This window comes from Homo sapiens, chromosome 15 (genome assembly GCF_000001405.40).
Source record: "Homo sapiens chromosome 15, GRCh38.p14 Primary Assembly".
Classification (NCBI taxonomy): Eukaryota; Metazoa; Chordata; class Mammalia; order Primates; family Hominidae; genus Homo; species Homo sapiens.
In genome coordinates, this window is record NC_000015.10 from 53,551,371 (window position 1) to 53,577,295 (window position 25,925).

Consider the following 25,925-nt stretch of genomic DNA (forward strand, 5'->3'; position numbering starts at 1 on the left):
AAAGATCGTACTGACTGCTGTAAGAAATATGTCTTGGAAAGGAAATTTGATCAAACCCACTCTCAGCCTTTCTCTTTCCAGCACCTTCTCTGGGCAAAACACCCTTGGCAACTGCACCCAGAATCAGGAGATGCGTAAAGGAAGAAAGTCATATCTCCCTTCCGTAGATTTATTACCTGTCCATAAATAACCTGGAGACATTTATCACCATGAATTTGGTTACTTATGCAAACATACAATTCTTATGCTATGTAAAAATTAAACACAAAAGTCAGTCCTATGTATAAATCACAGAATCACTATAAAAAACAATTACCTTAAGAGTCAGACATAAGATGGTCTAGATAAAGAAAGCAGGGAGCCAGAGGTGGAAAACTCCCTTGAAGAAGATTCTGCTAAACCCAATAAAAGGTATCAATGAAAGAGGTGGTAAAATTAGATGTAGGATACCAATTCAGATATGGAAGACGACTTAGAATACACAGACACACACACACACACACACAAACACACGCACATGTACATGCAATATGCTAGGCAGGAAACTTCTGATCCTGTCTGGCAGTTGGTCTCTATTTAGTATAATAGTCTTTTGAGATCAGAGTGGGAAAGGGAGGAATTGAAGTGACCATTCAGCCATCTGCTGCTGAGCATATTCAGGGAAAAGACAGAAAATTCGTTGTTTGGAATGCCTTGCAAGTGTCACCTGACACTGACATTTTTAGACTATCCTCAACTGAATTATTCTATACCTATCATGTGTGTGTGTGTGTGTGTGTGTGTTTATGTATGTACTAGTATGTATAAATACTCAAAGACACAGAGTCAATATCAGTTAATTTCATAGTGGTGACAAAGCTATATATCCAAGTTCAGAGTTGTAACTTTAACTGTTTAGTGTATTAATGCCTCACTGGGCTCATGGATGCTACATATTCTCCACTACTTGTTTACTAGCTTGTCAAAATTATTCAATATATGCAGTGTCACAAAGCACATGGTCACATCTCATATGTCTGCTTCAAGGGCAGGACCAACGTGACCTTTACTTTTTCTTTTACACGGGATAAAATCATTCTTTAGGAACAATGTCTATTTGCACAGCTACCCAATCTGCTATTGAAGCAGTCTCAATCTTCTTCAATATTGCTTGTTAAATGTTTATAGTTAATTTTATAGTAAAGGGCTAGATGTCTGAATATTTTCAAATGCATTCTCTATTGGAGTGGGTTTTAACTGTTCTTCTTTCACTATGTTTTATAAGATCGAAAACAGACACATAGAAAATAATGAAGTGGCTTAAAAAATTCTTTCTTGGATAATGAAAAACCTGTATCATATAGAAGAATAGAAGACTGCTTCCAAACATCCTCTGACTTGGAAGACAGTTACACATTTGTCTGTTACGTATTTCTCATCCAGAAGCAAATATTAACCAGTCAACATCGAATGCCATTTGATTTCATCCCCTTTGGCTTGGAAAACCTATGACTACCCACACTCAGGGGCCATCGGCATGGAAAGTATTAGTTCCTGTGCAGCCCAGGAGCTCTATAGGAAGCGGTGGAATCCCAAAGGTGGGTTGAAAGGTTCAAATCATAGCCAAGAAAAATAACTTCAGTCACTGTCAACGGTCAATATCATTTAAATCTCTAGAAATCTTATGAAAAAAAGATAAAAATTAAAAATAATGGCTTTCTTTAGGGTCCTTCCCACAGCAATGATTCAGAATACTACATTTTTAGACAGGGGAGGAGAAAATCATAATGCCCGGTAGAGGGGAGATGTAATTTTATTATCTGGCAAGATAGCGGCTTCATCATTAAAAAATTCAACCAACTAGAATACAGCGTCCTTTGACCTAGCAGATAAAAGGTCAGACAGCAATTTTGAATAATAAATGAGACCTGTTGACCTGATGACCCAAATCTGGCAGGGTGAGTGTTTCCTCTTTCACAGATGCAGACACACACACCAAGACAGCTCAGCTAATGAGCTGCCTCAACCCAGGTTGTGGGTGCTGCAGTGTTTTCGTGTTATGTAGCACGGGGAGAACAAATTTCTGAAGCTGTTGTGTCATGTAAAGTGATATTTATAGAAATATTTCTATTGTGGCTTTTAAGGAGACTCTTTCCTGAGTTCCCAATGTTTCTATTTAGTTGTTGAATTGAGTAGAAACCTAAACATTGGTCAAGGTATTTCTTCCACCTCTGATTTCCTTTATTATTTTAGCACTGGCAAAGAAGAAAGGAAATGCTATATGCATTTCACTTATATTAACAGCAAGGTGATTTTATGAGAATTTTCTAAAAATGGGAATGAACCTAAATGTGACTCTTTCACTTCATTTTGGTGCAAATAGTCCTTGTATTTAGATAACGGATGTAGAAGTACAAGGTATTAAGCTATATGGATATTTGTGACATAGTAATTAGTTTAAATGTTTAACTTTATTTGAGTAACACAGTGATGTAATTTGAAACCTTAAAAATTTCCAACTAAAATGAAAACAGAAATATGGCTTTAAACTAAACTATCCATCCCTACAATTTTAATCCTTAAAATTTTCATTATTGCTTTTGGAAAATAACAGCTGTTACAAAGTAAACTTGGTAAATGTTTACATTCTTTTTGATAAATATCCTATAATATGTCTAATTTTGACACTTTTGCTTAATAACATGTATAGTGCCTTTGTGTTTACTTGGTATTCTTTTCAATAAAAGATTTCAGGAGCCTGGCCAAATTCCAGTTTAGCTAATTATATTTCTCTTGCTAGGTCCCCTTTTAGCTTTCAACTGACTATGATAGTCTTCTTCACTCTTCATGTTAAACTCTTGCCAATTTTTGAATTGCAGAAGAGCCATTTGGTAAAATAACATTGTCTCTACTTGTAGTAATATCACACAGATGAGTAAAAATTGTTTTGAACCAATTTTTTGTTATTTACCATAAATTGGAAAAAAAAAACTTAACAATGAAGGATTTAGAGAAACCCTCACCATATATTTATCACAATTTCCCATTATCTTCCCAAAATAGAAAGACAAAATGGCAGCCAAAGCTGGTTCAGTTGGTTTCAAGCCTGTTCAATTTGCTGTAACTGAATAAATGCATATAGAAGACTTTTGGTGTGCAGAGCCCTAGTAAGCATCATTGTGTTGTGTTGCAAAAATTTTGCTTTGTGCATATTGAACTTTTCCAGAAAGTCACAACTTTTCCAAAGTAAAGGCACTTGACCTAGATTTATGGGTGAGGTCCCATTCTAATTAGTAACATGGAATACTACTGCTACATAGATATACATCAGCTGAACTGTGATACAGGAGAAGAAAGGAAGTGAGTTTACAGGGAGTGAGGAAAAATGACACCTTATGTATGTGTTTTGTGGAGCACTTCTTTGTCCCGTCTACACACTTCACATTTATTTTTACATAACCTCACTACAAACTCACGTAGAATATATGTAGTTTTGTGTTGGTAAATGTTTAATAAAAGCAAACAAACAAAAACCCCGATTTGTACTATTTGTCAATTTTTATGGTACAAATACTCCCACCATAACTAATTTCAAGCTACCAAAATGATGTCACTATGTACAAAGCTGAGGAGAGATGCATACAATTGGCTGTCAGGAGCTGGTGTTAGCTGGCTCCATCACACCACTGAGTATAGAGGGGCTATTGGTATCTTCATTTTGGAGTCAAGGAAACTGATACGGAGAGATTTAATGATTCATCTGAGATGGAGAAGCAAAGAATAGCAGGGCTGGTACTTAGACATCTTTTATTACCAGGTTCTGAGTTTTTCTCCACTTTCTACAATGTGAAGCCATTTAAGATAAAAAAAAAAGGCAGGAAGTGTAAGTGCGGGAAGGGTAAGGAAACTGTGCACCAACTCAGGAAGTGCACGTGCACTTCACGGAGGACAGAGGCAGGGCGGACCCACGAAAGACTTCAGAGCAGAGGCAGACACAAAGGAAAGAAACACTGGGAGACAAAGATGCAGACAAAGAAGAAAGAAATAGATCTGGGGGAAACCGGGAAATGTAGGGGGAGAGAGATAAAGAGAGAGAGAACATGTGCAAGTAAGCATTTTGGATAAAGAATACTCAACTTTTATATCAGTTTTCTCCTTCTGGCTCATTTGCCTCTTTCCCACTTTTATCTCTCGTCCTTCATGTTGTAATAAATATATTTTTTTGTTTGTGGTATTCTTTGTAGTTTTGTTAATATAGCAAACCAGCTAATGTTTTATATTTCACTCGACTCTCCTACTATTTCACCCTATCACCCATAATTCAATTAAATTAAAATGAACTTTGATTTATTTGTTTTACATTCAGACCACTTATTTGATTATTTTGCTGGGTCAATGGTTTGCCATTTAAAAAAATATATATTTCTCAGCCCTTTACTGTAGTATTACCTTGCAAAGACAAAGGGTTTCACATCCATTACCTAAAAAGTCTTATAGCACTCCTTCAGAAGAAAGGGCTATTAATTTTATTTTACAAAATAAAGAAAGACAAAAGGAATGAACTAATTGTTTAACAAATAGCAAAATGAACTGAGGCTTGAATCTGTGTTTCTACATTATTATTCTCTAATATGTAGCTATATTACACTGTTTCAAAACCAAAATATACAGTAAAATCTTTAAACACATTTTCTTTGAAAATAAATGTTTGGATGACAATGTATTCCATCATTTATCTATGGAGAAAACAAATAATAATGCTCTATTTTAATTGCCAGTGTAAAAGTTTAAGGCATAATAAAGAGGTAAATATATAAATGAGGCAATACAATGTCCATCCTTGGAGAAAATATTTTACCAACAGTTAAATAATGAGATTGAGTAACTGAGTATCAGGATATAAATTATAATGATGAAAACCATTTAAACTTATCAGCATAAGAACAAATTGTTAAGTTAGAGTATTGTTAGAACTAAAGGTTTGTGTTCCTTTCTTCATTTTAGTTTTCATTCTGTTGCAAATAAGTCACTTTTTCCCTAATCTATTACTTCAAAGAATTCACATAAGTGTTTCTAGCAGACTGCCTATAGTAGGGTCTGGAAATCAGCAGGGTGACATTCAGCAGTGTTCCTGTACATGGATGGATGGAACTGACTTATCAACTGTCACCCATATCACCCAAATCATCCATGTGAAGAAGGCTGACTTGGCATTGAGCTGGCAATTATCTGGTGAACCCAGCCTAGTAAACTGCCCAAACTGATAAAAGTTCAAAGAATAAATATAATTGCATTGGGAAATCATAGAGAATCCTTTTTGATGATTCAAAATGCAATATCTTGAATGGGTTCAATCCACTATAGCATGCTCATCAAGTCATCTAAGAAAAAAAATACAGACTGCTATTATAGGCTTTCTACAACATGGTTCAAAACCTTGCATAAACCTGGTCTTTACAGAAATGTAAATTATGAGTATAGCGCATGCTGAGTACATGTGGAAAGGTTACACACTCACTAATGTTATATAATCCATGTTACATGTATAATACATATGTATACATATAGTACACATACACATACAATAACTTGAATAATTAACTCAGGTTATTAGAGCAATGATAGAAAGGAGTTTCACTCTGAACAGATAAAAAAGGAAAGATGAATACAATAATTTACTGAAAGAAATTTGACTTCAACAATTAAACAATAGTACTGCCAAGGTTGACTTGGCCAGAGTAAGAAACTTCACTTTAAAGGTAATTTGCTTTATTAGTTCTCAGTATATCAGGCTGTCCAAAAAGCTTGGAGGCCAACCAGCAGTGCCATAGCAGTCAGAGCAAAATGAACAATTACAGTGTCATTATACTTAGCTTTCTAAGGTTAGGAAGTTCTTGCCTGTTTTCTAAGTGAAGGGAGCTGTGTTGTGTTCAGCATTTATTAAATTTCCCTGAACTTTCAGATTATCTTGGAGAAAAAAACTGACTGCTGCCTTTAGTATGATAATATGAAAATCCAAAGTGAGGAGCACCAAATGTTGACTTATTTTGTGTGAGCTTAAGGGTCTCTCAGACATTACAATGGCTAAGAATTTCATCTCAAACACCACATTCAAAAAGATTATAGAGTGATTGCTTGGAAGGCGATGTTCAGAAGATTTCTAATGTTGTATCTGGATGTCGCAAGAAACAATGCCTTGATCTACGAGCAATGTATGCCAGAAGGTAGGAATGGAGAAGCAACAGCTTACATGGCACCTTTTGAGTTCTTGTGTAATGAAATCTGGCTGAGGTCAAGAGAGATCAGCCCGTGAGCCTGGAAAAGTGACCACCGACCATCCTGAGGCTCAGTTAAATGAAGGAGGTGTTCCTAGATAATCTCCAAGGCTCTCATTAGCCTTAGAATGATTTAATAGCATCTAAGGTTTCTATAATAATATTACAGTTCAAAAAATGTTTTACATATATTAATTTCTCATATTATTATTACTAGGTTTTAGAAAAAAACTAAAGCTCAAAGTGGCTAGCCAGGATGACACAGATTGAGGAGGTGAGATTCAAATGTTAGTTTCCACCCAATGTATTTGGCATGTCCGTAGAAGTGTACATTGGTATGGTTATTGTAGTGAATAATGGGTAGAGGTGACCTCTTCCCTCGTTGATGCTGAAACAGGGGCACTGGTGGAATCTGGAGCAGTGGGTTCCCTGAGTAGAGGACTCAGAACAAAGGCCCAGGTCACTATCTTTCCACAGACATTGACTGACACAGCTCCACTTCTACTATAAATGTGTCCTAGAATCTATTGCTCATTCTATAGTAGGAATTCATAGACTCCAATATTAATTTTAACATTTTATCCAGTTTTAATGGCAATTATCCTTAATAATTATCCTTAGTTGTCAACATTAAAAACATTATCCATGACATCTTTAATTCCGGTTTGCCTCGTCCTATCACCTGGCAGATTTTTGGCCTTGATCCAGAAGACTCCAACCATTCAAGCCAAACATATTTACAACTGTGGTATAAGAAAGTAGCCCTGATGTTTACAAACAAAAACGAATTCTGAAAAATGTGCTCTAAAGTTAATACTATGTATCACATTAGACAATTGAAACTTCATTAAATATTACTCCATAGATACTATCCCCCATCTTTCATCTTTATGGAAATGGCTTAGGGGTGGAGTGAAGGAGAAGCAAAGATTATTTGATTATGTCACAAAATGATGATTTAGCAATTCAACATCCCATTAAAGTATGTTTAATGGGATGCTGAATTGATTTCTTAATTTATAAATTCAAAAAGTTAAAGTCCACTCACTAGGTTGCTGTGTAAGAAAGAACCCTGTAATGTATTCCAAAACCTTATGTAGATGATTTCTTGATTTTATTTATAACTTTTTTCTTCCAATGGAGCCAATGACTGAGGCTGGCCTATTCTGATGCATAGCAGTAAATGGCACCTGCCTTTTGATTTCATTTGTTTGACGGGATTTTTAGTGAGGCAAGAAATGACTTCAGAATAAAAGTCTCTTAATGAAACTTAACTTTTTAGCCTTTAAAAATGGGACATTCTATTTCTTAGCTTATTCCAGGTGCATACTTAAAATGTGCATGATTTTTATTAAAATCCACATTCTTGGAGAGTTAGAATCTCAGGCATACCTTGAAGCATCTCTTCAGTTTATCAATGTATGATTCAAACTCAAGCTTTTAGTTCACAGAAATATAGCCCAAAAGCAACGCCAACGTTAAATGGTTATTTACTTATAACTTGCTAATGTACTTTTCTCCCTGAGTATTGGCATTTCTTTTTTTTTTCATTTTAGGATTGGGAAACATGGATTTTGCTACTGCCATAGTAGCCTTGGTTTCTTTTAGCCATGGACTAGAAAGAAGAAAGAGTCCTCATTCGCAATTCACACAAACTGTAATGATGATACACATGTGGATTTTTTTTAAAGTACAATGAAAGTTTAAGAAAAAACATGCAGGTTTTCTAAAAATGTTTTGTAAAGATTAGGTGAAGATCAGTCTCCCCAACAGACTCTTATTTTTCCTTACAATATCTGTAGGAAAAAGCTCATTTGCAGACAGCTGCAATATGAGCTTCCTTTCCTTGCCCTGTCATTGACCTCCAACCTGATCTGAAAGAACCACCTTCTTTCAAAGTGAGAAGTTATTCATTTACCATAATAGCTCTATTCGGGGCCTCCTTAACAGAAACTAGCAATTGTGCCCAAACAAGAAGGTTTTGTGATCCTGACTACCGTTCTTACACAGGAGGACAAAACCAATAGGAAATTTCCGTTCCGACAGCCACAGTAGGCGGCCATAAAGTTGGTGTTTAAAACTATGGCTTATGTGTGGTGATCACAAAAAGAGAAAGAAAAATCATTAGGAGTTTGCACTTGCTCTGGTTATGTACTGGGGTTTGCCAATTATGTTCTCTTAACTCGACAGCTTATTCATTGAGCAAGAGCTGCTATATTAGAGGTTAGCTGACAGTCTGCAGTGTGCAACTTAAAATAAAACCACTTTATGAAGAGGAGTGAGAAATATAAATGATAAGCCTATTGGATAATCATTAGAAATAAATAAAAAGCCTTTGATACATGCAGTTAGTCACAAGCATTACAAGTTGAAATGCAGTCCAGTGTTAAAGAGACAGTTTAGAAGCACATGGCACATTTATCACAACTCCACAGACAAGTTATTGAGCTGTCTGTGAAAAAACAGAGCCAAACAGGAAAGCTTTCAGCAGTCAGCAGCAGTTGAGGTCCTTGATTGATATAGCTAGATGATGAAAAGCTGTCCGATGGCTTTCTGCAAAATAAAGTGAAGGAACTCAAGGTCTTTCATGGTGCTCTCTGACCAGAGATGAACAGCTACTTTATTATGGCCCAGATTGAGGTTGTGCCTTACTTCATATTCTGCTACTTTCTGATGCACACGGTAGGGGTTTGACATCTTCACATTAAAAAACAACAACAAAACAAAACAAGTTCACTATAAAGGACAGAATACCGCACTGGTTAGAAGCTCAGATTCTTTACTTGTCCTTACGAGCAACTCTTTTAACTGTAGAGATGTAAAGGATGAGAATAAGTATTATCCTAGAGATCCCATGGCGACCCACCCCTTCCTTCCTGTGCAGTTTCACTCCAAAGCATCACAAACCAGGATATTCACTGCCATGACCCCGATACACCAGGTTATTTTTTTTCCAAGAATTAAGATGCAGTACTTATTTTTATTTTGTGCTCTAAAATAGAGAATGGCCTTTAGATAAGACATAAATAACTTTGGAAGTCTAGTTTAAGTTTTTTAGTTGCTTTGAGCAGTTTCAATGACTGGAATTTATTTTGCTAAGGAGTTTAACAGCAAATAATACAATGGTATGACCCTTGTCTTTAGCTTGATTCTTGTCAACTAAAATTATTAACCTTAAAATAACCACACTGCATTCTTCTCATTATATTCATTTGTGTCCTCCCAGCCCCGGCCCCCCAAAAAAAACACAGGGAGAGAATGAATGAGGAGAAAAAAGAAAGAGACTTGCTCTAGAATCATTTTAAAAACATTATATTCTTCCACACTCTCTCTTCTTATCTAATTCCCAGACTTCACTCTCCCTAAAGATATTATTACCACAGTCCTTTGTTTGAGATTAGAACTTCATAAATCTTCAGTTCTACTCTTTTATTGGCATTTTAGAGTTGTATTATTTGATTTTGAGTATCATAAACTGCATTGTTCAGAACACCTGGAATTTTTACCTTCAATAAATGAGACAACTGGTGTAGCACATTCAACCAAAAGGACTTCATTTGAAATTAATTCTGGTAAGGATATAGCTATTTCTAAAACTTAAATGCACTACTAAGACCTAGTATTAGTTCTCCTCTCTCTCCAAAAATATTAGAAATTTTACTCTATTTTTAAACTTCCTGAGGAAAAAAGCAAACATATTGAAAGCTTTTATTCTGTCCAGAACCCAAATTCATATCCCAAATATAAATATATAAATCAAAGTAATTAAAAAAATCAAAATTTAACATAGTTTTACTTTGCTTAAAGCCGTCAGCAAAGAGGGTATTCCTCTACATAAAATAAGTGCATACTTTGCTGCATTCTGGTTCTATTTCCTCATACAAATAAAGGAGGAAAATGATTAATTTCTCCCTAGAAACTCATATATTTCCAAAACCTCAATTTCTTGTTATCCAAAGTGCCTGTTACCTGGGGAATTCTTAGAGAATCTCAGGCCTCACCCCAAAAGAGTAAGAACTAGCATTTTAACAAGTTCCCTGGGTGATTCATATGCCTACTCAAGTTTCAAAAGCCCTGCTTTAATGCAGTACTTCTAAACTCTGTCTGCATTTTAGGTTCACCTGAGGACCTCTTAGAAAATACAGATGCCAGCACCCTACTATAGACCAATTAAATCAAAATTTTTGACAGTAGGGCTCAACCACTGATATTTTTTAAAAGCTCCCCAGGTAATTCAAGTGTGCATCCAGAGATGGGACCACCACTGTAATCAAAGCTATGTAACCTGTTTTGTTTATCTTTTTATGGTAGCCACTAGAAAGCTCAAGTAGTTAACATGAATCTTTTTAGGTAATTTATTGTTAATTGAGTTATATTAAGAACAAGAAACAAGATAACATTAATACATTTTTATCTCATGCTAGTCATTGCACTAAGCTCTTTTTAAGTAAATTTTCTCATTTAATGCTCAAAGCAATGTCAGTCTTCCTATTTTACATACAAGCAAACTGAGACCAGGAGGGGTTGAAAAAATTAAGGTGAGATAGTCCTTAATTAGTAGTAGAACATCCAGAACTTAAAACCAGTTATTTTTGACTACAGAGTTTACATTCTTAAATCCTTGTTACTACTTTGCATATTCAATTCTTGCAGCTTTTTTCCAACCTGTGGCCTAGTTTTCTCTTAATTGCCCCCCACCCCAATTATTTCTTAATTCCTGGCTTTGGTTTGTACTCTAGAATGAAAAGTGGACCTCAAAGTTTAGTGTAAATTAGAAGCAACTGAGAGTTTGTTAAAACACAAGTTGCTGATTCAGTAGGTCTTGGATACAACCCCTAAATTTGTAATTCCAAAGAATTCCCAGGTGATGCTGATGCTGCTGGTCCAGGGACAAAACCAAGTTTTAAGAATCAGTGGGCTAGATTAGTTGTGATGGCTCTTATGATGTTACCTGCCTTCATTACAAATTTCCTCAAATCATTTATGTAAATTGAAAAGTTATGAATAAGTAAAAACAGGAAAGAAGAGAGGGATGATGATATATAAATGATGTTAATAAGAATGGATAAAAATAAAACTTCAAGTAAGAAGTGATTTCCTATCCCCTACTGCAAACCCTTCCCAAGAGATAAATGGACTTCAGCATTCTTTTCTCCACAAAGTTATAATTAGACTTGGTATATGATGGCAGGCAATGCAGGTATTCTAAAAGTCAAATAAACTTATATTATGACATTGTTTAGAAAATAAATGAGCAATGATGAACAATTTTAAGGTCTTCTATGCCTTGTGTTCTCTAAGTTACTTAAATCATACCAAGATACATTTAATTATTCGATGAAATGTTTTGCTTGAGGTTATAAACTGCAGTGTCTGAAACAATAAAAGCGAGGGAATTTTTAAAAATTTATCTCAGTGATTTATGCTCTTAGTGCAAAGCTGACAATTTAAAATATACACTTGGTTTTTCTTCATCACTTTCGGAAAGAAATTTTCCACGTAACAAAATAGTAGCTAGAAAAATGGTCCTAATTATTTGTGTTGGATATTGGTAAGATGTGATTGAGAGAATAGTGTTTACATGAATCAGTTTCAGCAAAGACACATCCTTAGAACTTTATGATTTAAAGTTAACAAGCAGACTAATTTATTAAATTGGAAATTAGGTATATAATATAAAATTATTTTAAGTCTCTCTACCTGGACTGAGTAAAATTTAAAAGAAACTAATTTCATCTTTCACTTACGACTTCAGTGACATGTACTTCATTTGAGCTGTTAAAATAAAGGAAAGCAAGATCTGCCTGTTATAAAATAGATATTTTTATTTATTTATTTTTTAACTTTTAATTTAGGATTGGGGGTACATGTGAAGGTTTGGTACATAGGTAAACACATGTCATGGGGGTTTGTTGTACATATTATTTCATCACCCAGGTATTAAGCCCATTTAAAAATGTTTATTAATACCCCCAAACTAGGTTTGAGGTGAAGCTGTTTGCTAAATGATTAATCTAGTAATAGGAATGTCAGATGGAACACAATTTTTAAGATTTTTTTTTAATCTGAAATACTGTTCTTGCAGAATGTTGGTTGGATGACATAAAGAGCACAGGCTTGCCTATCACACTGATTACTTGATGTAATAGTAAGCAAGCTTAAGTGAACTGTGTGTCTTCAATCTTTCCAATCACTTAGGGATGGGCATCGGAGCTCGTCATCCATCATCCCTGGTCTGAAACATACAGTGCATCAGCAATCTTGGGCTGACCTAAATGATAGTAAAAGCCGCTATGCTGTTCACAATAAGAAATTGTTGTCCGCTGAATTACAGGTTTGTGATTAGATTGCTAACATGGCCAACTTGATGTATAAGTGAAGTGTCCAGGGAAGATATTCTTTAGGATCTTCTGAAGATTAATTTATACCCTTGAAATGCAGACCAATCACAGAGTCAAAAAATATGTCAAGGTGTTTTTCTTGTAACCAAGAAAGCCCAGCTGTTTTAACAGTCATTAATTCATTTCTGGCACCTTTATCTGCAAAAGAATTTAATAAACAAGGGGTCTAATGGCTATCATCTTGGCATGGCTAGAATTGCTCAATCTGATAATTGATTTTTTTGGAGGCAAATTTATATGAGGAATAGTTATATACTGTTAAGAATATAAACCTGAAATGTCAACTGTTTCTCATAATTTAAATTTTTACATTTAAACAATTTTAAATTTGCTAAAATGCCTATCTAAAATTCCTAGCTGTGTGTTATGTTCTCATATCCTAGGACAGCATCTAAAGATAGAAGACAAATTACCTGGTAAACATGCCATGTATTATTATTATTTTTATTTCCTTTCCTAAGATTACAATAACTTGAATTTAAAATTAAACTTTAAAGAAACTATCTCCAGGTCAACTGCATAGCCCTAAGAGAATATTAGCACAGGAACTAGGAGGCCCACCTTGGACTTCAGGTTCTGTGTCTAAATTTTCTGTATGGCCTTCGATAAACCATTTGGCTGCTCTAACCATTAGCATCCACATTTGGTCTTATAGGAATGGTATTTTCTGACCTATCAAAGGTCTTATTCAGTAGGATGACATTTATTGCTTCCATGCCTACTGAAAATCCTTCCTTTCCAGTCACGTGGGTAAGCATAAAATGATGAAGGTGCTAGTCCTGCTGACAGCAGGCAAGAAAATAGGCAAGTACGATAATAAGCTTAGTGTGCAGAAAAACCACCCAAAAATGAAAATGCTGGGGCCAAAAGCCCAGAATCTGAGTTGACAGATTCAGTGCTGAGCTCTGATATATACCTTTCTAATATGTCCTCCAGATAATTCTAATGCAGATAGTCCATGAGCTACAAGAAAATTTCCTAAGTGAAAGGAATTAGAGCTGGGTGCTTTGAGGTATACAGGAAAAAAACACTTGATTCAATCCTAAAAGCCTGGGAAAGGTTTTGGGGAAAGGTGCTGGAGAAATAAAAATTTCATGAGCATATTCTGGGTACAATAAGTGTAAGATTGGGGAAAGTGTTCCCAGCAAGGGAACCTCATGAGAAAGGGAGCCCTTGGGGACTCGAGGCAGGTGAGTTTAGAAAGTTTAAGAGGCAAAAACAAGAGATGCAGTTTAAGAAGTTGAAAGGAAACTATCACGTAGGACTTTTTTTCTTTTCAATAAATTACTTTTTGAACACATGTGCACAGAAAAAAAGTGTGTAAAAAGAATAAACAATGAAAAGTTTTCCTTCTGTCCTCTCCCCAGCCACCCATTTCTTTTTTGGAAGGCAAACACCATTAACAGCTTCTTGCGTGTCTTTCCAGAGATGTTAAATGCATATGCAACAATGTGCCAAGACCTATTCTCCACACTCCTGTTCCAGTAAATTAAACAGTAAGGTATACTATGCACAGTTCAGCATCTTGCTTTTTTGACCTAATGTATTTTGGATATTGAGCACATCTCCTACTTCTTTGTAAACACTGCATGGTACTCTACTATGCACACACTATGATTTATTTTACCAGTTACATGCTGATGGACAATTAAGTTATTTTCAATCTCTTGCTCTTACAAGCAAAAATATAAAGAATTAGCTAGTACCTAAGTCATTTCAAACATGTGCACATACGTTGAATTAAAAAAAAAACAGAATTTTTGAGTCAAAGGGTATGAGCATTTAATATGTTGGTAGATTCTGAAAAAATGTTCTCCACAGAGGCTGTAATAATTTGCAATGTCATTTGCAAAGCATAAGCATGACTGTTTCCTTCCTCTCAAAAAAGCAGTTAGACTTTATCTTTGGAACACTAGAGCATAAATCAAGGGTTTTAAGAGAAGGAACGCTCTGATTAGGGTTACATTTTAGAAAGCTATATTCTACAGCAGTGTGGAAAATGGATGGATTAGAGATAACCCGGTGTTGATTATGTGGGAGAGCAAGGATTTTTACTGAGCACGTATTACATGTCAGATTTTCTGCTAAGCACTTACACTGCATTATCACATTTATTACCTATAACCACACTAACTGTTATTACTGGTTTCAGACAAAGACAAAATGAAACAGAGGCTCATAGTTAATTACTTGTCCAAGTACATGCTGGTAGTAGCACATGGCAAAACCGGGATTCAAATCCAAGCAAGTATTACTATTAGCTCAGAGCAAGTGGTTTTAGCCACTACAATACCATTTGGGATGCAGAGAAGTTGATACATTTGAGATTTGTCAGAGGTAGAACTGACAGAATTTGGTAACTGAATGCATGCAGAGCATAAAGAAAAGGAACAGATCAGCATTATCCGTCGAGACTGGGAATCTAAGATTTACAGCTGGAAAGCAAGGAGTCGGGGGGTGACTTTTGAGTTTGAGGTGACAGTGGGAGATATCTACTGCCTGGGAGGTAGGAGAACAGTCTAGTCTGGGGAATATATGGGACTTCACCAGTGTACAGACACTACGCTTGGGAAGTCACCAGCATGGATAGGCTCATCTACGGAGCAACATTTAAGGAACAGGTCAAGGATGAGGAGAACATGAAAGAGGTGAGGAACAAACTAAGAGATAAGAAGACAGGAAGGAAAACCCAAAGAAAATGTTATCTCCAAACCATATTTTTAAAAAATCACTTTGAACTACTTTACAAATAAATTATTAATACCCACTTTTTTATTTATAAGGACTCTCATATACTGTAAAAGTAATATTCATGAAATAGTCCCCAAACACAGGAAAGAATAGGTTACTGGAACATACCCACCAACACTGTCTTGCACAGGTGATAGTCCTGGGGCAAATAGCTTTCTCTAGCCTGGCTGAGAGTCTTGATACATTTCTTTAAACTCTAATAACCATGCAGAAAAGTGTCAAATTGAGGATTTAAAGGCAACCGTTGCAGTCCCAGGAGAGTGTCTGGGAGTGATTCCTGTGTACCTGACATAACTCAGAAGCAGGAGAGCTGCACTCAATGGCAGGGAGAATTCTCCCACACCACCTCGTATAAATCTACAGAGGGCTACGCAAAGGTTTATGTGAGCTGTGTGTCCAACATGTGTTGGGAAATCAGTCTTGTTATATTTTCCCTGTAAATCCTTCCAGGAGTCCTCTAGGTTTAAGGAGGACCTTCACATTTGGAATCGAGAAATGAGTATAGATTTTCTAAAACTGCCTAGACTGTGTAATATGTAGTTCATACAATAGATTTGAGGGGAAGAATATGTAGGCACTGTCAGTCAATTGATGGGTTCAGACTCAAGAAGCTCCAACAGGCCCACCACTCTCCCCAACTCCCTCATAAGGAAACAAAAAGCCCAAAAAACAAACAAACAAAAAACCCTGTTTTTCAAAGGGACTAAGTTCTTTAAATGTGGCTGACCAATCTCTGTTGCATATCCATGCAGGATACCTGCATATCCGAGAGAGATGAGACTGATCTTATTTTGTTTATATAACCAGTTTTATAAATAAAAGACAATATCTTTTATGTTAGCATACCAAATTCCACTTCTGAATACACCAAAACTAAAAACTAAGACTGGACCAAACTACAGAATCTAAACACCTTTTTTATGTGTTTAAACTGATCTTTATAGGAACAAAAGCCTTGAAAATTATATACATAAAATGGTAACGTTACTAAAATCTTCTGAAAACAATGAAAAATCTAGTGTGTACCAGATTTTTAAGTCAAATTAATAACTAATTTAAAAACAGTTTTAATTATTAAACCAAATTTTTTATTTTATCAACAGATAAAAAACAAATAATCATTTCTAAGCTTTATTAGAAATGTCTTAAATTCAATATTCCTCCATTTCATCAAGTTTTATCTCAAACATTAATTGCATATCATCCTGATCATAACAAACAGTTGCCTTGAATAAAGACTATTGATTATCTAGGATGCTCCAAATCAAGATTTGATTCTAGGCATTTTTTGTCTTGTTTTTTTTTTTTTATTTTTTTAAGTAAATTCTACTAATTTCTAAGTATTAGTCAATGAATATCTGATTTTTAAAAATAGGTAAATTTAAAAAAATTACATCAAATACAAAATAATTTTTTACCATTTAATATGGGGATCGTATGTGGGGATCACATACAAGTGCATGCATGATCCACAGTACAACTTTACTGAGCAGCTTTTCAAAGTACATAAGCTTTTGTTTTTTACAGACCCTTAAGAAGTTCAGAATAGTGAAATCGGTTTTTATGAAGTAGAAAATAGGGATTTTCTAACCAATCTAATACTCAAAACAGTAACTCTAACTTTGTGACAGACGCTATTTGAACAACAGTGACAGGGAGCTCACCACTTAATGAGGCAGCCTGTTCATTCAACAGGCTTAAGGGTGTAAACATTTTCCTTAACTATTATACAAAAATCTGCTTCCCTGTACATCTAGCAATGTTGTTCACTCTGGCTTCTGTAACGATCCCAACTTGCTCCCCATTGTCACTAAGGTGGTCACTATTGATGTCTTCCATGCTAAGAATTTATTTTTTTTGAAGTAAAACAATTCCATTTCCTCCAGTCACTCTTCCACATCATGGTTTGAAAAGTTCCTCATCAATTCCTGCTCCAAAAGGACCACTGATCATCTCTAGCAGGCCTATAGACCATTTCATTCAACTATAACCATAGCTCTATGTGTAGGGTTATCATTTCTCATGAGTTAAAAACTCAGCTGCTATCAATGTAAACATACATTATAAGTATATATACCTTGAACACATCATTGATACATACAAATTTGTTTCCTTTTGAAGTTTACCACAAAGAATGGTACGATATATACTATATATATGACATAAATTTTAATTATGATATATTTAGCTTGTAAAATAATGTTTAATTTACCAGTTTTTCTTAGAGTAATTGGGAGAAATGGAAGAATGCAAAGTATTTAGGTGTGGTAGGGAGTTTACTGAAAACATAATACTAATCTAAAGTTTTCTTTCCTTTCACAGGACTTATGGTCTGTTTCTTTCTGCACATGAGATCATTCTCTTTCTCTGAAGACCAGTCTTCTGTGATTTGAAATACAGGTAGCCAGCCTATCCCTGCCTTTATGTGGTCATTCTTGTCTACATCAAGTACTATGTTGAGCCTCTACACTCCCAGCTTCCAAGACCTGGGACACACTATTTCATTTTATCCTAGGTCTCCACCCATCACAGGTAATATTAGAGATGACAAGGATTGCATAACTAGCAGCTCATGTGTATGCACTGTAGGTACAAGTTCTCCAAAATGGTGTGGACAAGACTGTGGGAGAAAAATGCATCAGCCACACAGGCAACCTGAGAGGTGTCATATTTTTGAAGCACGTGTCTATCAGCTAAAATACAGTATTGAATACAGAGATAAGATTGAAACCATCATAGAATGGCTACACTCTGAACCACCCATTGAAGTCAGGAGAATTCAACATATAAGAAGTCCTTCTAATATCTATACATCAGCTTATGAGGCATTTATTTGCATTCACAAGACCAAATGTTGAATGTGGTACCAGAAGATATGAAGCACCTGGATGTCTTTAAAGAGGTATAGTTGCTGTACTTCTAATTAAGTCTTCTCAGAGTACTGAGGTTTGCTGTCATGAGAGTAATGATTTTCTTTATCATGCCCCCCTAGAATGTCAGTATGGGAGGGAGAAAGTATAATTTGCATTATTTCATATGTCATTACTTTTATTTTGCTTATTTATCTTTACATAAACAATGAATCATAAAAACAATGAACTATGAAAACAATGAACATTTGACATAGGTGGCCTTTGTGGTCTTCAGTGAAATGTATGTAACGGTGATTCACACTTAACAACTCAGTAGGAGTGAGGTCATAGTCCATTAAATGCATTCCCTTTTGTCCACATCCTTACCAACACTTGTTATCCTTCATCTTTTTATAATAGCCATTCTAATAGGTGAGAATGTATCTCATGCTTTTGCAGGAATACACTCCCCCCTTTTTTCCAGTATATACTTTTTTAAAAGCTAAATTTTTTATTTTAAGTGACAAATAAAAATTCTATATATTTATTGGGCACAACATGATGTTTCGAAATATGTATGCATTGTGGAATGGCTAGATTGAGCTAAATAACATATGTATTACCTCATATACCATTTTTTTTTTTTTGTGGTGAGAACACTTAGAATCTAACCTCTTCACAATTTTCAAGAATACAATACATTGTTCTTAGCTATAGTCACCATGCTGTACAATAGGTACCTGGAGAACTAAACAGATCAAGGAAAAAAATGAAAAACGCCATTCAAAAGTGGGCAAAGGACATGAACAGACACTTCTCAAAAGAAGACATACAGGTGGCCAATAAACATGAAAAAATGCTCAACATTACTAACCATCAGAGATGCAAATCAAAGCCACAGTGAGATACTGTCTCATACCAGTCAGAATGGGTATTATTAAAATGTCAAAAAATAACAGATGTTGCCAGGTTGTGGAGAAAAAGGAATGCTTATACACTGTTGGTGGGAATGCAAATTAGTTCACTCCTGTGGAAAGCAGTTTGGAGGTCTCTCAAAGAACTAAAAATAGAATTATCATTCGATCCATCAAACCATTACTGGATATTTACCCAAAGGAAAATAAACTGTTGTACCAAAAAGACACCTGCACTCATGTTTATCACAGCACTATTCACAATGGCAAAGACATGGGATGATCCCAGGTGCCCATCAATGGTGAATTGGATAAAGAAAATGTGGTACATACATACTAGGGAATACTATGCAACCATAAAAAAGAATGAAATCTTGTCCTTTGCAGCGACATGGATGCAGCTGGAGGCTATTATCCAAAGCAATTAACACAAACAGAAAACCAAATACCGAATATTCTCACTTATAAATGGAGCCAAATACTACAAATTAACTCAAACAGAAAGCCAAATACTGCATGTTCTCACTTGTAAGTGGAAGCTAGACAGTAAGTACACAGGGACACAAAAATGGAAACAATAGACACTGGGGATTCCAAAATGGGTGGTGGGGGAAAGAGGGGAGAAAGTGTTGAACTATTGGGTACTATGTTTATTACTTGTGTGATAGGATCATGAGAAGCCAAACTTAGTATCAAGCACTATAACCATGTAAAAAATATGCATATTTATCTGCAGAATTTAAAAACAAAAAAACAAACAAAACATACTTTGAATTTATTTCTCTTATTGAATTGAAATTTTGTATCCTTTGACCAATGTCTCTTCAATGCCCAACCCCTGCCTCCAGCTCCTGAAACTACTACCCTATTCTCTGCTTCTGTGAGTTCAACTTTTTAAAATTTCACATAAAAGTGAGATCATGTGGTATTTGTCTTTCTGTACCTGTCCTATTTCACTCAACATAATGTCTTCCAGGTTCATTGATGTTGTTGCAAATACTAGGATTTCCTTCTTTTTAAAGGCCGAACAGTATTTGATTATATATGTCACATTTTCCTTATTTATTCATCCATTGATGGACACTTAGGTTGATCCCATATCTTGGCAATTGTGAACAATGCTGCAACAAACAGGGGAGTGCAGAGATCTCTTTGACATGTTGATTTCATTTCCTTGGTACTAATCCCAGCAGTGTGATTGCTGAATCAACAGCAGTTCTATTTTTCATTTTTTTTTTTTTTTAAGAATCTTCATACTGCTTTCCATAATGGTTGTACTAATATAGATTCTCACCAACAGTGTGCAAGTGTTCCCTTTTGTCCACATCCTTACCAACACTTATCTTTCATCTTTTTATAATAGCCATTCTAATAGGTGAGAATGATATCTCATTGTAGTTTTGACTTGCAATTCCCTGATGATCAGTGATGTTGAACATTTTTTCATATACCTGTTGGCCATTTCTGTCTTCTTTAGAGAAATCTGTATTCGGGTCCTGTGTCCATTTTTAAATTGGATTATTTGTTCTCTTGTTATTGAGTTGTTTGAATTCCTTATATATTTTGAATATTAACTCCTTACCACATGTATAATTTGCAAATATTTTCTACCATTCTGTAGGTTGTCTTCACTCTGTTGATTGTTTTCTTTTCTGTGAAGAAGCTTTTCAGTTTGATGTAATCCCACTTGTTTATTTTTGCTTTTTTTGACTGTGCTTTTGGGGTTGTATTAACAAACAAACAAAACACTGTCCAGACCAGTAACATGCAGCTTTCCCCCTGTTTTCTTCTAGCAGTTTTAGAGTTTCAGGTCTTGTGTTTAAGTCTTTAATCCAATTTGAGTTGATTTTTTGTATACGGTGTGAGATATATATTTTTTTGCCCTACCTATGATATTTTCCCCTCACATTGAAAGCTTATGTTTTCGAAGAGCTCATTAAAATAAGAAAATAAAGGAAAATATTTGGGATCTAGGGCTAGGCAAAAGTTTGTTAGAACTGACTCGAAAAGCACAATCCATGAAAGAAAAAAATTGATAAATTGGACTTCATTCAAATGAAAAAAAATTTCTTTGTGGGAGATAATGGGATCCTTGATGCAAGAAATTCTTAACCTTTCTCTGAAGAATTTCCTAAACAGACAGGAGCCAACTTGACTATAGATGCCTGGGAAATGGCGAGAATTGCAGCCTATGGCTGACTGATACTTGGATTTAAAAAGCCCTGTCTTTGTTGCAATACATGTTGTGCTCCAGTTACTGCCCTCTGGGAATGCTCCCGAACCTTACAGAAAGTCAGCATTCAGTAGCAATTAGAGTTCTCCTTTCTAGAGAACCACATTTTTCTATCCTTTCATCACAAATATAAGTTTTCCATAGGGATTGGGTTTTACATTAATTGGATAACAAAATCAAGGGAAGCAGTAGAATGTTGCTTTATTGAATACCAGCGTCCTTATAGTTGGGTTGGGAGGAGGTAGAGGTATCAGTATTTCAGTCACAAGACTTCATTTCATGGTCATGGATTCCAAACAGTGCCATTCAACTCTGATAGCAAATATTGTGTTAAAAACAACTGTTTATTTGATTTTTGTCACATTCAAACTTCTAGTGATTTAACTTTGTTCCTCTAAGCTAAGTATCTCATTTTGTCCAAATGACCTCCCTAAATGTGCATGTGGCTGTGTGTCTATTTCCTTCATTCCATGATATTATGAATAACTCTAAGGTGTGTTAACAGTCATCATACAGAAGGAAATTCCACATTAATTGTTCATATGTTGCATCAATTCACAATGGCATATGCTTACTCATATTATACATGTGCCTTTCTTTTCCAATATCTTAATAATCTTGGAGTCTAATTCTGTATGTATTCAAAGGCTAAAATTTTTCTGATTCATTTTGGTCATTGCTATTCCATAAATGTCATTTGATGATGTGTTTTTTATGATTCTTGCTTGTAATTTTAACTCCTTTATCCATTTTAACACCAACTGCTTCTTTTCTTTTTTTTTTTTTCGGAGACGGAGTCTCGCTCTGTCACCCAGGCTGGAGTGCAGTGGCACGATCTCAGCTTACTGCAACCTCCACCTCCCGTGTTCAAGCGATGCTCCTGCCTCAGCCTCCTGAGTAGTTGGGACTATAGGCGTGCACCACCACACCTAGCTAATTTTTGTATTTTTAGCAGAGATGGGATTTCGCCATGTTGGCCAGGCTGGTCTTGAACTTCTGACCTCAGGTGATCCACTGGCCTTGGCCTCCCAAAGTGCTGGGATTACAGGCGTGAGCCACGGCGCCCAGCCAACATCAACTGTTTCATTTGCATTTTTTAATTTGTTAATTTCCTAGTTTTGCATTTGTTTTTATTTCTTTAATTGATTCACATATCTCAGGATATTAAACATATCCTCTGGAAAGTCAGCTGGAAACTTCTTAGTACTTTCTAACGTTTGAGTATGTTATAGAAATACACCCAGATTGAAAATGTGACGATCTCTTATAAAAGATTTGTCCATTTCTGCTGTCTTTAACTGTATCTCTTGATGTATGACAGGGAATCTTCTATTTTTAAGGTGGTATTTGTTTCAATTCTGTATTACAATATAATCCTTCCAAAGACATTTTAAGTGACAATTAAAAATCCAAACGTAATTTAAAATTTAGCAGTAGGCATTGCTGTTAACGCTAATAATTTCAGCCGAAGTGAAAACTGATTGAAGAGATGCCTTCTATACATGCCTAAGTTCCCACACATAGACAATGACAGCCACTGTTTGGGTGCTCAAAACTATCTTTTAACTTAGATTCATGCATTTATTCAACAAATATTATTTACAGCCTAATAATGACAGGCATTGACCTAGGTATTGAGAAAATTGGGTGAATATAATAGATAAAATATTCACCATCATTGAACTTATGTTCTTCAATTATAAGAGGCACTCAGATTTCGGAAATGATAAAATGTGGAGAAATATGTAAAATATGTATCTCAGAACAAAGAAAGATATGATGTAGCTTTAGGGTTCTTTCATACTTTTTAAATTCAGCTATTTCTAATGCAATTAATTTTATTCAAACTTGTCCTAAAGAGACTATTTTAGTATTTGCTTATGTTTCTTGAAATAATTTTTTTCATTATATTATTTCTAATGCAAAGGAAATACTTCAGTTTTATGTAACAAATGACATCAGACTTTCTTTTCTTCCTCCATTTTTTCCTTCTATAAAATAAATTAACAGAGGCTTTTCATAGGATAGTCTATTTATTTTCTCTGTGCTCATGTATGAAGAAATATATATGGGTGGGGTGAGATAGGAGGAGTGTACACAGGTATTTATAATGATGGACCTGGAAAGGGTTAAAACAACTCCCGTACCAAGCCCTCACTTCCAAGTGAGGAAATCCTCCAACAAGCATTGCCCTAGAATACATTTAAAGAGGCTAATGAAAATCAAACACAACACACACACACACACACACACACACACACACACATTTAAAATGTATGTATACACATACATGTATACATAATTTATATGCATATATTATGTGTTTTGATACATATATATTTCAAAAAGCAATGTAGTAAATTAGTAGCTTATTTTTCATATGAGTACTACCATATCGTATGTTCCGAACTCAACATAAGGGTCACTACTGATGGCATTTGAAAACTGTCAAGTCAGAAAACTCTCAGGTGTAAATGTAGACTTAATCTCTGATGTTCATGGGAAGTGATTCATGGCTAGTTTTTACATTACACCAAGGAGATGCTTTATAACTGGATGCTGACACTTTATATATTAGGCTATAATCAATATTATTTGCTACATGCTCTGTCACTGAAATAAAACCATGATTGTTCTGCAAATAAAGTTTTAATTAATAACACAAACATCCCTGTTTCAAAATGTGGTAACCCTGTATATCCCATAACACAACTTTACTACCAGGTATAAAGATGAACTGAAGGTTTAAAAGTCTAAAACATTGATATCTCAATGGTATAACCTGAGTCTGTGTATTGTTTTTTTAGGCATACAGGTCATATATTGTAGAAGGGAAACTGAACTCAGTTTTCTAATCTGTAAAATGGAAATAACAGTACCTAGCCTGCATAGTTATTAGAAAGATTAGATCATGTGTGTAAAGCACACAGAATTTTTGGGCTCCTCCTAGATTTGGAGAATGGTAATCTGAGGTTGAGTATTGATGTCCATAATTGAATTAGTGTTAACCTGTGCATTTTAACAGCTGCTGTCAATGCCCATAACACAGAGACATTTAATTGCTAATCCAAGTCTATGCAATCACTTAGCTCATCACTATCTACCAGGGTAGAACTGGCAGTCAACAACTTCTGCAGGATTGAAAAGAAGACATCACTGGAGCCCACTGAGACCACTGGTCTCCCTGCTTATAGGCCCTTTGATCTTTGATTCATCTACCAAACTGAGAAACACCCAAATTATAAATCTGAAAACTTTCTAGTACCTACAATATGGCATACAAAACCATTCACAAACTGGCCCCACCCCAACTTTAAGCCTGCTCCATCACCTCACTTACACGATTGTATTCTAATTACACCCCTAAAATAGCTCTTATGACATTGCGTTATAGTTAATCAGGTGTCTAATCCCCATCTAGCCCTTTTTAGGGCTGTACCTCAAAGTATGTGTTTGCCTAGGGGCAGTTTAACCAGTGTATGCCTCTTCATATCTTCCAAGATAATCACACTTGAAAGGAGTTTCAGCTGTTAGCATCTTTCACAGACCCCTCAGACTGTCAGCAGTAAGATGAACATTCTGAAATTAAGTTTTAAGGATGTTCAGAAAAGAGAAGTAAGGTATAGAGCCTCCAGTTCCTCCAAAACTCTCCATAAGCAGGTGTGTCCAGGACAGCCACTCCCATTGCACTAAAGCAAATGACACATCTTATTGTACTCCTTGTGTCTTATTCCTTTTTGTATGCATGGTAACTTGTATAGTGCCCTTTACTTATTAGGTGAAATTTAGATTAAATAATTCCTTTCCTTCTCTCTTCTTCCCCCACCCCTAAAAATACACACATACAGAATTTTTCAACTTAAAGCTACCTCTCTGTGACAGTAACCAAGTGAAAAACTCAGATTCCTATGGGAACCTAGGGAAAATTGAACAAGACAGGCTTGGTGGATACTGAGATGACTTGGAGAACACACACTTCTGCAAAAAAGGTTATTATCTCACTAGCTGCTATCAGCTCCAGCCTACTGTTGTTGCATGAAAATGGCAATTTAGTGTGGTTTCTCTTCCTATCTGCCATGAGAAGTCAGATATCCAGAATATTTTTGGGAAATCTGGTTTTTATATGTTGGAAATTTGGTGGTTGTTTGTTTGGTTTGTTCTCTGTAAAGCATTGTCTAAGTCAAACAGAATGTACTTGTAAGGGATCAGTTTGAACCTTTGCTTTAGAGCTCCAAGACTGGGCAGTCTCTAGAAATCACTACTGTGCATTTTAGCTTGAAAAGATCCATTGTTCTTCCAAAAGACTAGGATGCTGTTAGGACACAGCCAGGCTGTTCATGGGTGTGCTACCTGTTCGTATGAAAGAAACTTGGTCAGTACCTGCCTCACAAAATTATGACTTTCATTTTATCAGCAAGGAAGAACTTCTGCACTGTAAAAGCTTATTAAGGGAATTTGATTGCAAATTGAATGTGGTCCAGCACCTCTCCAAAGCTCATTTAAGATATTTGATATTTTAG

The 25,925-nt window shown here is 35.4% G+C and overlaps 1 protein-coding gene and 1 long non-coding RNA gene across 9 annotated transcripts in view, besides 2 other annotated features; one reads left to right on the forward strand and one right to left on the reverse strand.

Annotated features, from left to right (window-relative positions):
• The window catches only part of LOC105370826 (uncharacterized), a 107,205-nt gene extending 105,576 nt beyond the window's left edge, over positions 1–1,629 (forward strand). The window contains exon 7 of the long non-coding RNA XR_007064645.1: positions 1,265–1,629. This is a non-coding gene — a long non-coding RNA (uncharacterized LOC105370826). The remainder of the gene's footprint in view (positions 1–1,264) is intronic.
• WDR72 (WD repeat domain 72) overlaps positions 1–25,925 on the reverse strand; it is a 249,138-nt gene that overhangs the window by 37,630 nt on the left and 185,583 nt on the right. The window lies entirely within an intron of this gene.
• Positions 4,015–4,184: an enhancer, noted in NCBI's record as "experimental_39776 CRE fragment used in MPRA reporter constructs". NCBI's record gives its function as "activates a minimal promoter by MPRAs in K562 erythroleukemia cells, with activity observed for both the introgressed and non-introgressed 15:53847667 or rs76695954 variant alleles {active_cell/tissue: K562}" and the evidence as "EXISTENCE:reporter gene assay evidence [ECO:0000049][PMID:34662402]".
• Position 4,100: a transcriptional cis regulatory region, noted in NCBI's record as "Neanderthal adaptively introgressed variant 15:53847667 (GRCh37/hg19 assembly coordinates) or rs76695954 in the experimental_39776 CRE". NCBI's record gives its function as "modulates activity of the experimental_39776 enhancer by MPRAs in K562 erythroleukemia cells {active_cell/tissue: K562}" and the evidence as "EXISTENCE:reporter gene assay evidence [ECO:0000049][PMID:34662402]".